This window comes from Homo sapiens, chromosome 1 (assembly GCF_000001405.40).
Source record: "Homo sapiens chromosome 1, GRCh38.p14 Primary Assembly".
In the NCBI taxonomy this organism is placed as follows: Eukaryota; Metazoa; Chordata; class Mammalia; order Primates; family Hominidae; genus Homo; species Homo sapiens.
The window spans coordinates 20,854,100-20,866,940 of record NC_000001.11 but is presented as its reverse complement, the minus strand read 5'-3'; the positions used below and the strand labels follow the sequence as shown (position 1 = coordinate 20,866,940).

General features: G+C 39.2%; 1 protein-coding gene across 62 annotated transcripts in view; it reads left to right on the top strand.

The window, feature by feature from the left end:
• Positions 1-12,841, top strand: part of EIF4G3 (eukaryotic translation initiation factor 4 gamma 3) — a 370,606-nt gene that overhangs the window by 309,957 nt on the left and 47,808 nt on the right. For all 62 annotated transcript variants that reach the window (XM_047433321.1, XM_047433366.1, XM_047433324.1 and 59 more), the window contains 6 exons: positions 1,679-1,825; positions 2,229-2,465; positions 4,609-4,713; positions 6,424-6,556; positions 9,444-9,538; positions 11,870-11,963. In XM_047433321.1, coding sequence (XP_047289277.1) covers positions 1,679-1,825; positions 2,229-2,465; positions 4,609-4,713; positions 6,424-6,556; positions 9,444-9,538; positions 11,870-11,963 — 811 coding nt within the window. The remainder of the gene's footprint in view (positions 1-1,678; positions 1,826-2,228; positions 2,466-4,608; positions 4,714-6,423; positions 6,557-9,443; positions 9,539-11,869; positions 11,964-12,841) is intronic.

Below are 12,841 nucleotides of genomic sequence, written 5' to 3'. Positions count from 1 at the left end.
GATTGTGGGCCGGACTATTATTTTCTTGTCAGTCAGTTATACACTTAATGTCAATACAGATGATGGAGGTAAATATGCCAAGATGCTGGCTAGGATTTTGTGGCTGGTTTAACTTATGTTCCTATAAAGCAGCAAATTGGATATAACTGCTGATGTTTAGAACCTTTAGTTCTAAAATCTAATGTCATGTTGGTGCTCTTGTATGCCAACCTGCTTTTGAATATACTTCTTGGTTCTCTTTTGTATTTCTTAGTCCATTATTGTGTATTCTGGGTCTTATATAAGAGAAGGTAGAATCAACTTTTGGCTTTTGCTTTGGAAAACTCTTGCTTTCATGTAGCATTTCTTTTCTTGAAGGCTGACTTGTGTGACTTTAGAATAGGCCTGACTGTGAAATTATCTATAGTTGCTTGCATTTATGTAGCCTAAATTTGGAGTTAAGGATACAGTAGCCTTTTCTCTGGTTGTCTAAAAAATTATCTGAAAATGTTCCCCTCTTCCTAAGATAATGTCTCCTGCTGAAAGGAAATATGCAGTGTAACACATGGTTGATTATTACTGGATCTGTTAAATGATCTTTCATACATCGTAGGGAATACATTGGAGAGTGTGCCATCAGTTCTAGTACAAATATTCTAGCATCATCATCGTCAGTTCTCAGGAAGTTTCTCTAGCCATCCAGCCTTGATCAACAGCTGACCAAGTGCATTCTGGTTGATAACATTAATTATTTTGTGAGTATGGATGCAGTGTACCCAGTTTTCACAAAGATCTTCTGTTATACCTAGGGCAAAGACCATACATACATTTCAGAACTTTGGGAGCCACTTTGTCATCCCAGAAAAACTGTTGTATCATATTATGAAATAGCTGTTCAAAATGGTGCTCAGAGGGATGTCATCTGTAAATTAGAATATTTTAGTAGAATCCCTGCTGCAGTCTACTGTCTTTATATTCTAAATATGTTCATAAGAATGTCTCTGTGTTTGGTTACAAGTAACCTTGAGCTATTACAACTATTAGAAAACAATTATTATTGGATTTGGATGGAAACCTTGTAAGGATCTTGCTTCCAAACTTTTGGAGAACTAGTATATTCTCATGGCACATAAGCAATAAGCAGTAAACATACTATATTTATAGTCAAGGTAAGTGCTAACATTATGACATTCCCCAATGAAAAGATATCTCAAAAATCCCCCAGTATCCCAACTTCTGCATAAATACAATAAGGATCTCACCTACAACAGTTTTGCGATAACCAGCAAATTCTCCCTTGTCTTATGTCATTTTTGTGTGTTCTATTAAACCAAAATACTTATTACAACGGTACTTCTTAAAAAAAGAAGTAATAACTCTACACAGTTTTTTTTTTTTTTAAATAAGGTCTAGATAAGTTCAGAGTTATAGTTGCAATGATATGACAAGGGTTTCCATGTTAGCTAGTAGCATGGCTAAAAAAGAGTACATTTATATGAGAGGAATGTGTGTCTTTTCTAAATAAAATTTAAGACATATTACTGTTGAATCATGAAATGCCTGAAGCTATATTGTTTGCCTCTTATAGAATGCTTACCTGTGGTTCAGTCAGCATTATTTCATACAATAAAGCAAACAGATATTTTTAATGTCTTTAAGTAATCTTGTTGATTTTTTTTATTTTCCTGTCTGGATGTAGCTGAAAGTACCCATGGCAGACAAGCCTGGTAACACAGTGAATTTCCGGAAGCTGCTACTGAACCGTTGCCAGAAGGAGTTTGAAAAAGATAAAGCAGATGATGATGTCTTTGAGAAGAAGCAGAAAGAACTTGAGGCTGCCAGTGCTGTAAGTATTTTCATAGAAAGACAGTGCTTGTACACTTTGAGCACTGTAAAGTAGAAATTTCAGGAAGCTAGATACAGCATCTCCCTGCTACCTTAAGAGGGACCTATGGCCTTTTTTTTTCCATGTAGAAACAACATATTAATGTTTAGGGGAATGCTTTGTTCCTTTTAGTGCCTAATATAGGGGACAGCTAAATTTTCCATGCCAGCCATTCAATCTAAGCCTGAGTCAGGTCACTGAGTTCCAAAAATCTGAAATGGATGGGTATAGTTCAGTTTTCTGAGCAGTAGATTCTACACTTGCTATCAGATTCTCACGGGGATTCTGACCCCATGAATCTCAGTGTTTATTGTGCAGTACAACTTTCATCATCAAGATGCTATTATTCCTCCTTACACAACAGCCAGAGGAGAGGACAAGGCTTCATGATGAACTGGAAGAAGCCAAGGACAAAGCCCGGCGGAGATCCATTGGCAACATCAAGTTTATTGGAGAACTCTTTAAACTCAAAATGCTGACTGAAGCCATCATGCATGACTGTGTGGTGAAGCTGCTAAAGAACCATGATGAAGAATCCCTGGAGTGCCTGTGTCGCCTGCTCACCACCATTGGCAAAGACTTGGACTTTGAAAAAGCAAAGGTAAAAATCCAAAAGCTCAGAAACCTTCGCAAAGGCTCCTTGTCAGTTGCAAAAGAACTTAGACTGTCAACAGAATAGTTCTATCTTTTCCCAAAGGTCTGGGCTGTTTATTTTTCTTCTTTTGCCCGTCTCATTGTCAGTGTTCAACCATCGTGCTCCTTACATTTCCATCAGAGTCAGAGATGAGGAGGGTCCCAAATTGTGTAAAAGCCAGTTTGTAGATTCTTCAGATTATTTGTCCCATATTCTTTTTTCTTCTTCTGTAACCATTTCCCAATTTGGGAACAGAAATATGCAAAGAAAAACTATGGCCTAAGGGTAGTGCAGAAATGAAGACCCAGTAGTGCTTCTAGAGTTTATACTCTAATTGATGACACAGCCATCTAACCATAATATAAGAAATCATTAAAAATACTGTAATAATGTATGCTATTTAAGGGGTATAGAAATTAGAAATGCTTCAAAGAAATAATGTCAGAAACGCTCCATAACATCTGATTCAGCTAGGATTATGCTTAGCTGTGACAGAAAACCCAGTGGTTTATACAAGATTGAGGTTTACTTCTTATTTATGTAAACAAAGCTCTGAGGTAAGTCCTTTCAGCTTAACATTCTGTGACTCCTAAAGTTTAACCCTTGTCCTAATTATTCTCACCAGAGAAGGTAGGAAAAGGGGCAAAAGACACAGCCACCTCTCTCTCTCTCTCTTTTTTTTTTTTAAGTAACAGGGTCAGCCGGGCACGGTGGCTCATGCTTGTAATCCCAGCACTTTGGGAGGCTGAGGCGGGCAGATCACCTGAGGTCAGGAGTTCGTGACCAGCCTGACCAACATGGAGAAATCCCGTCTCTACTAAAAATACAGAATTAGCCAGGCATGGTGGCGCATGCCTGTAATCCCAGCTACTTGGGAGGCTGAGGCAGGAGAATTGCTTGAACCCGGGAGGCAGAGGTTGCAGTGAGCCAAGATTGCGCCATCGCACTCCAGGCTGGGCAACAAGAGTGAAACTCCATCTGAAAAAAAAAAAAAAAGGAAAAAAAAAAAAAAGGTAACAGGGTCTTGCCCTGTCACCCAATTTTTTTTTTTTTTTTTTTTTTTTACTTTTTGTAGAGATGATGGGTCTCACTTAGTTGCCTAGGCTGGTCTTAAACTCCTGGCTTCAAGCAGTCCTTTTGCCTTGGCCTCCCTAATTGCTAGGATTACAGGTATCAGTCACTATGCCTGGCCCCTCTGGTCTCTTTAGGAAGGCCCTAGGAAGCTATAGCATAACATTTCCATTTATATTATTGCCTATCATTAATCACGTGACCAAAGCCAGCTGCCAGGAGCCTAGAAAAATGTAGTCTTTATTTTAGGTGGTCATATGAACAACTAAAAATTCTACCATATGGCCGGGCACAGTGGCTCACACCTATAATCCTAATACTTTGGGAGGCTGAGGCAGAAGGATTGTTTGAGCTCAGCAGTTTGAGACCAGCCTGGGTAACATAGTGAGATTTCCTATGTCCAAAAAATCATACACACAGAAAAATTTAGCTGGGTGTAGTGGCATATGCCTGTCTGTGGTCCCAGCTACTTGGGAAGCTGAGGCAGGAGGATCACTTAAGCCCAGGAGATTGAGGCTGCAATGAGGCATAATTGAGCCATTGCACTCCCAACTGGGTGACAGAACAAGACCCTGTCTCAAAAAAATACAAATAAAAATTCTACCACATTATATTTTGGCTATAAATTGATATTCCTAGACCATTTAGAAAACTACATGGGCTGGACGCAGTGGCTAATGCCTGAAATTCCAGCACGTTGAGAGGCCAAGGCTGGAGGATTGCTTGAGCCCAGGAGTTCAAGACCAGCCTGAGCAACATAATGAGACCCTGTCTCTACAAAAAATTAAAAGATTAGCCAGGCACGGTGGCACGTGCCTGTAGTCCCAGCTACTCGAGAGGCTGAGGTGGGATCGGTTGAGCCTGAGAGGTTGAAGCTGCAGTGAGCCGTGATTGTGCTACTGCACTCCAGCCTGGGCAACGGAGTGAAACCCCATCTCTAAAAAAATAAATAGATAACTACATAAATAAATAACTGTAAATTGGTAAAATTACGTTTAAGTTTCTCAGACAGGAGTACTAATGATTTTGTCTCTTGCAGCCACGTATGGACCAGTACTTTAATCAGATGGAGAAAATTGTGAAAGAAAGAAAAACCTCATCTAGGATTCGGTTCATGCTTCAAGATGTTATAGACCTAAGGCTGGTGAGTGGGAAAAAAAATAATAATAAGCCTGCTGGTCCAGTCTCTTTAAAGGAATTGGGTTGGGGAAGGATGTCCTGTTGTTTACATGTGTAAAGATAGTGCTTTTGCTTCAGGACTCAGAATTTGGATTGGCAAACTTTCCGTGGGAGAGTTCTGAGAAGGGACAAAAGGCCTATTGCCAGTTACGTGCTTCTTCTCCTTATTCTGATTATCAAACCATATTGCAATTTTGTTTGCGCTTTGTTTTTTTTTTTGAGATAGAGTCTCACTCTGTCGCCCAGGCTGGAGTGCAGTGGCTCAATCTCGGCTCACTGCAGCCTCCGCCTCCCAGGTTCAGATGATTCTTCTGCCTCAGCCTCTGGAATAGCTGGGATTACAGGCACATGCCCCCACACCTGGGCAATTTTTGTATTTTTAGTAGAGACAGGATTTCACGCTGTTGGCCAGGCTGGTCTGGAACTCCTGACCTCAAATGATCTGCCCACCTCAGCCTCCCAAAGTGCTGGGATTACAGGCGTGAGCCACCACGCCCAGCCACTTGCAATTTGTAATCAGCCATTCTGAATTCAAACTCCATTCAAATGTAAATTCAATTAAATTTAGTCTTTGTGAGCTAAATAATCAGCAAGTCTCATCTCCACAGTAAATACCTTTAACTCTCTGAGCCTTACATTTTTAATCTCTAAAATGAGGATGTTGCCTACCTTGCAGATTTGTTGAAGAGTCAATGGAATAATTACGTAAGGTGCCCAGCTCAGATATTGGTGTTTTCTTCTCTTTCGTTTTTCCTGTGACCCTCCTATTCTGCTGCTGGGTTTTTTTTGTTTTTTTGTTTTTTTGTTTTTCTCATTTCTCTTACCGGGTGCAGTTTTTGTTACTACTACTTTTCTCTGTTTTAAGTTTAACTCCTACAGGGAGTTACTCTTTTGTAAGTTTCACTCCTACAGGGAATATACTACATCAAGCCCTACACTAGAGAAAGTGAACAAAGCCCTACCTCTTATTTCTCCTCCACCCAGGCCAGATAGCATTGATGATGATTCTTTATCTTGCTAAGACTAGATGTGGTTGTCTTCACCCATGTTATCAACCACTTATATCAGATGTTGGGACTGTTGCTAGAAAGAGAAGGGAGAAGTATAAAGTGACAACTTATTTTGTCCTTAATACAGGGGATAACCAAAGGGCAGAGTGGTATGGACCTTTGTGTAGAATATCAGAACCATGATATTGGAGAAATAAAAGCATGAGTCATCCTTGACTTAGAACCCCTATGGAATGTGATATGATCTGAGTAGTAATCCCACAGATTAAGGCAAGGCCAAGGAATCCTCATCATTTTTATTTTTCTCTCCTCCTTTCAAATGTACAAAATACTGATACAGATAAAATCCATTTAGTCCACAGAGAAATATATGCCATGCTTAAAAATATAATAATAAATTTGGGCCAGTCTTTCACCCTGTTCTTTGTATCCATTGGCTATTGGAATATGTAGTATACAATTGGCCAGTTTTGACTGAGAAGATTTTAATCCTTCAGCTCTAATCCTAAACTGCTCATAGTGTCATCTATAAGATACATGAGAAACTGCCATAATACAGCTTTTGTAGGTATTTTGTACTTTTCCAGTAGTAAAAATTGCTAATTTTTAAATTTTAAAAAATGTTCAGTTTATCTGGCAGATAACCTTATTTTCTGCTTTTATAGTGCAATTGGGTATCTCGAAGAGCAGATCAAGGGCCTAAAACTATCGAACAGATTCACAAAGAGGCTAAAATAGAAGAACAAGAAGAGCAAAGGAAGGTCCAGCAACTCATGACCAAAGAGAAGAGAAGACCAGGTGAGGCCGGAATCCACCAGGGTTTAGAGAACTTGGAAGTTTCAGGAATACATATTAAGAATTATGTATTTAGGTATAAAATGAGATCAGAAAGAACAGCCCAAAGAATAGAGTGGTGATTGTTAGGTGAAGCAGTTTCACCTGAAGAGTAAAGTTACTGAGTAAAAGTAGAGAATGCAGGAACAAAGCATGATTTCTTTCACTACTTAAAAGCCAGTAAGCAATAAGACTTTATTGAGCATCTTCTATATACTCAGAATTGGTGAGACGAGAAAAGGAAGTGGAAAATGTAGTTACTTCCCTCTCAAAGTGTACAGTTTATCTGGTAAGGTAAAACTTTTGACAAGCAAAAGAGGAACATTTGTTAAGCAAATGGAAGATAGTATATCAATTATGAAATGTGTTCTCCATTAACTGTTAAAATTTAGAGAAAAAGAAGAGAGACAGAAAGCTGAAAGAAAACTTTATTTAAGAAAGGGGCACTTTGTAGCAGGCCGGACGCAGTGGCTCATGCCTGTAATCCCAGCACTTCGGGAGGCTGAGGTGGGTGGATCAATTGAGGTCAGGAGTTTGAGACCAGCCTGACCAACATGATGAAACCCCGTCTCTACTAAAAAATTTGCTGGACATAGTGATGTGTGCCTGTAGTCCCAGCTATTCAGGAGGTTGAGGCAGAAGAATCACTTGAACCTGGGAGGTGGAGGTTGCGGTGAGCCGCGATCGCGCCACTGCACTCCAGCCTGGGGAACAGAGTGAGACTACATCTCAAAACAAAACAAAACAAAAATAGAGACATGCAAAAAAAGTGAAAGATGAAGTAGAAGGCATTTTAAACCTGAGACGATAGTCCATTTACTAAGTTTAGGAACGTTGGAAAAGAAAACCTTTTTCAGAGGGAAATGATAATTTTCTGGCTGATAGTAAATACTCAGTAACCATTAGTTATTGTCACAGACACAGTAGAGCTCATAGTGAAGTTGTTAGGAGAGATGAATTCTGCATGGAAGAAAGTTTACTTTTAAGTTTCTTGAGATACCACACTTACCTTCCTCGCTCTAGTACCTAGTGCAGTGCCTTTTGGGTAATAACTTTTATTTATTATTGAACCAGATTGAGAGGGAAAAGGAGAAGATACCAAAGCCTAATTCATGGAGGATATTCACATATGACTAAAGGAAGAAAAGAACTCTTGGAAAAGTGCCAGACAAGTGGAGAGAAAGGACTAAGATACAAGTGTCATAGAGACAAGGAAGAAGCAAGTCTGTTTATGATCAGTAATATCAGATAGCACGGAGAAAATCAAGACGTTATGTTAGGACCAGAAAAGCTTTTGGATAGACAGTTCGGTGATCTTTCAATTTATTAATTCATTCAGCAAGTATTTTTTTTTGAGATGAGTCTCGCTCTGTCGCCCAGGCTGGAGTGCAGTAGCGCGATCTCGGCTCACTGCAACCTCCGCCTCCCGGATTCAAGCAGTTCTCTGCCTCAGCCTCCCGAGTGGCTGGGATTACAGGCGCCCACCACCACGCCTGGCTAATTTTTTTGTATTTTTAGTAGAGACAGGGTTTCACCATCTTGGCCAGGCTGGTGTTGAACTCCTGACCTTGTGATCCACCTGCCTCGGCCTCCCAAAGTGCTGGGATTACAGGCGTGAGCCACCGCACACGGCCCTCATTCAGCAAGTATTTATTGTCTGTCACTTAACAAGGCACTCAAAGTCCCTTCCATCATGCGGCTTACATCTTATGGTAGAGGGGAGAGAGGAGACAATAAATAATAAATACTTAAATAAAATATATCATTTGTCAAATAAATTTGTAGAAAAACAAAGAAGGGAGAAGGGACTAGGGAGTGCAAATCTTGGTGAGTAGGGTGCAGTTTTAAACAGGAAAACTGGGGAAACTATAAAAGTTGGTATTGTTTGAGCAAAGACCTGAAGCAAGTGAGGGTGTTAAATCATGTGGAAATCTGGGGAAAGAGACTTTTAGGCAAAGGGAGTAGTAAGTACAAAGACCCTGAAGCAGCATTTTCAAGGAATAGCAAGGGGGCCAGTGCAGCTGAACCTAAGAAGGGCCTGACGGGGAGAGTGGTAGAAGATGGGGACTTAGAGGCAGCAGGAGCCAGATTATTTAGAGGCCATTTGTAAGGAATCTTCTCTTTTTCTCTGAATGAGACAGAAAGGTATCAGAAGTGTTTTGAACAAAAAAGTGACGAATTTTGTACTTTACTAGGATCACACTGGCTGCCATGATGAGCACAGCTGAAGGTAGAAGCAGGAAGGCCAAAACACGTCTCTGCAGTAATCTAGGAAAGGGGTGTTGGTGGCTTAAACAAAACTGCTAATGTTGGTAGTAGATTCTGAATGTATTGTATAGGTTTAACTGGCAAGGTTTACTGACAAAAATTGGATGTGAAGTGTGAAAGAGGAGTCAAGGTTTTCCACCTGTGCAGCTGAAATGTTGGAGAAGCAGATTTGGGAAATAAAGCATACTTCTGTCATTTGATCCCATTAAATACAATATACTTTAGAATAAATAATTTCCATCTGACTTCTCCGAAAGTGTTCTAGTCATTAATTCTGTGAATACTGGATTTAGCCCTGCCTTCTCCAGCACCAGGTATTCATTTGTGTCAGTTGTTTGTTTCTAGGTCAGTAATGTTTCATGGGTGATCCAAAATAAGCAGTGCTTCTGCTGATACAGGGTGCTTCTGCTGATACAGGGTGCTTCTGCTTATATTTTCCTGCCATGGGATTAAAGATATTGTCATCAATGCTTTAACATCTTCTGTTGTCTTTCTCCTTGGTTTTGATGAAAATATTGCTCACTCTTTCAATGTAAAACTGACTTGAGACAGATGAGAGACTCCCACTCTGTTCTCCCTGCAGGTGTCCAGAGAGTGGACGAAGGTGGGTGGAACACTGTACAAGGGGCCAAGAACAGTCGGGTACTGGACCCCTCAAAATTCCTAAAAATCACTAAGGTGAGTCTGACATTTAAAGTACAATTTACGCTCTCCTTTGATGCCTTTGATATTAAAACACACACACACACACACAATTTACAATAGTTGCAAAACGTGTCTCAAAAGTACTTATTAAAGTAAAACAGCAATATTGCAAATCCATGGGGTGGTTATTTTTTAATGCATTTTTCTTCAAGTTACTATTGATCAATGTATTCTACAAACTCATTTCTACATTTTCTTTTTTTTTTTTTTTTTGAGATGGAGTCTCACTCTGTCGCCCAGGCTGGAGTGCAGTGGCACGATCTTGGCTCACTGCAGGCTCCACCTCCCGAGTTCACAACATTCTCATGCCTCAGCCTCCCAAGTAGCTGGGACTACAGGTGCCCGTCACCACACCCGGCTAATTTTTTGTATTTTTTAGTAGAGACGGGGTTTCACCGTGTTAGCCAGGATGGTCTCGATCTCCTGACCTTGTGATCCACCCACCTCGGCCTCCCAAAGTGCTGGGATTACAGGCGTGAGCCACCGCGCCCGGCCTCATTTCTACTTCTATAAGGATTTACTAAAGAGGAAAAGACTAGGTTACTTCTTAGACATAAGATGCTTAATATACAAGAGGTAATAACAAAGATATTTTAGAAGCCTAAGTCAATTGCAGGCTTTTACACAATGTATCCGTAGCTCTGGGGAAAAAAGCAATCACCTGTTTAAACCTAACCATGAAAGATTTGCCTTATCCAAGGCGTAAAGGAAACCACAGAGGGCCTACTAGAAATCATTCTGTAATAAGGATTTAAGAGACTCTGTCTGCTTTCCTCTCTTTTTGAGAGTCTGTGGGCAGTAAGAGGAAAAAACTTTCTGTAGCAGGTATTTTCAGCAGTAAAAGTTGATCATTGTAAGGAGGATGAAGAACTTTGGAGAATGTAGAGAAAGCAGAATTAAATATGATAAGAGTGGAAACTTCTAAAGTCCAGTGGGTTTTCCAAATCATTTGCAAGTCTAGTTTGATCCTTATACTTCCCATAGTTCTGAAAATCGGCACCCTGCTAGCAAAATACTGAAGACAATCAAAACTAATGTGAAAATACTACATGAAAGAAGATAACTGACAAGAAGTATTAAGAAAAGTCTTTAAGAAAATTGGAATAAAATGGGCTATGTCATTTGCATCTTCACAGTTTTGTCAAAGCTTTGCTTCATGATAGAAAATTCTCCTTCTGAATCTCTCTTAATAATGTAATTAGCTAGGATCCTTTTCTCCAAGATTCTGGTACTTTCTTCTAGTTGTTTATATCTCAGAGTAGGAATTCCATTGCTGAATACAATTTGAGTCTTACCCATCTCCATTTCCATCTAGAGACAGTTTTAACTAAAAGTTTATGTTTAAAGAAGTCCTCCAGCATTTTGAAAAATGTGTCGGTATTTAATAACAACATTTGTATTTTTAAATATTATGCTTTCCGTGCTTGGATACTATAAAAACAGTGCTGGTATCAAACCTCCAACATTACTACCTTAATATTTTTAAGTATGTAAATTGCTAATAAACTTTGTGTATTCAGATAGTTATACTGGAGGTACTATACATGGGTATCCTAGAACAAAACCGTTATACATATTTATTGTTAATTGGGAGTGGTTTGTGTGAAAGCATATTACATAGCATAGCAACATATATATTATGAGCTGTCAGACCATAGAAATACCTTTTTTACAAAGCGCTACATTACAGCTTTTATGTTATATGTATTTTATAATAATATGCATTACAGCGTAATTTTATTTCACTTGTAGTAAAGTTGTGCTTGGAAGATTAAACATGAGATATCAGGCACCTTAACTTCCTGTGCTCCCTGCCTAACATTCCAATCTCTTTCTTCTTATTCTTTATTGAATACTCACATCCCACTGCCTGTCTCTAGCCAACATGAAATTTTTATGTCTGTTGATCTGTTTTCTGACAGTCATGTAAAGACACTAATGAATTAATTTTGTAGTATTTGTATTTTTTATTTTTAAAATTAATGGGTATTGTACAAGAAGAATGATTAGAAACTGCTTATTACAGTTAGCAAATTCATAAACCATCTTAAACAGGAGGACCTGGATGCATTCTCTAGACCAAACAGTTTTTTGTGGAAACTGGAGTCCAGGGAAGTGCTTCAGGGGCCACATGGATCCCAGTTTAATGAGAACAGCTCCAATTTCTGTTTCTATTAAATTGGCATTCCAAACAAATTTTTGTTGCTAAAATTGGTTCTACTTCACTGAAGAAGAAAAAAATAAAAGAAAAACTATTCTTCTAGAATATTTCCTATAATTGACTTGTGGTCCCTTATGTTACAGCCTACAATTGATGAAAAAATTCAGCTGGTACCTAAAGCACAGCTAGGCAGCTGGGGAAAAGGCAGCAGTGGTGGAGCAAAGGCAAGTGAGACTGGTAAGTGTGTGTGTCCCTTCTCAAACCTGGCTGTGGCTTGTTAGCATTTGCCTTACAGCGCATTCCCATAGTCATCGAATGATGGTTTTTGGGAAAGATGTGTAGACTAATCATGCCTAAAATTTTATTGGTAGCCCTTTCCTTTCAACATAGATCCTTTCTCAGGATCCTTAAATAATTTTAAGTATTTTTTTAATTTCAATTCATTCATTTAGACTATTTAATTAAGACCTTTATTTATTTATTTATTTATTTATTTATTTATATATTTTTGAGATGGGATCCCGCTCTGTCACCCAGGCTGGAGTGTAGTGGCATGATCACAACTCACCACAGCCTCAACCACCTAGGTTCAAGCAATCTTCCTGCCTCAGTCTCCTGAGTAGCTGGGACTACAGGTGCACGCCATCACACCTGGCTGATTTTTTTTTTTTTTTTTAATTTTTTGTAGAGATGGAGTCTCACTGTGTTGCCTAGGCTAGTCTTGCACTCGTGGGCTGCAGTGATCCTCCCACCTTGGCCTCCTGCGTGCTGGGATTACAGTTATGAGCCACACTCAGCCACTAAGACCTTAATTTTTTAGGTTCCCTTTTTGTTGTTGTTCACAAATTTAATATAGCTAGAGAAATTACTGGGACCCTAAATTAAAAGGGAAACTCATTATGCTGATAAAAGAATCTTAATATGCAGAGCATTTACTATAATTTTAGGGAGCTGTAAAAGAATAAAGAAACATTGTTCAAAATCTTTTTCGAAAATCAGATTTTGAGAGATTTGACCTCAGGACCAAAGATGTTTGGATCTCACAAACACATCTTACTAGCTTGAGGAAGCCCAATGGAAAGAAAAAAAATTTAATGTTAACCTACTTCCTATAT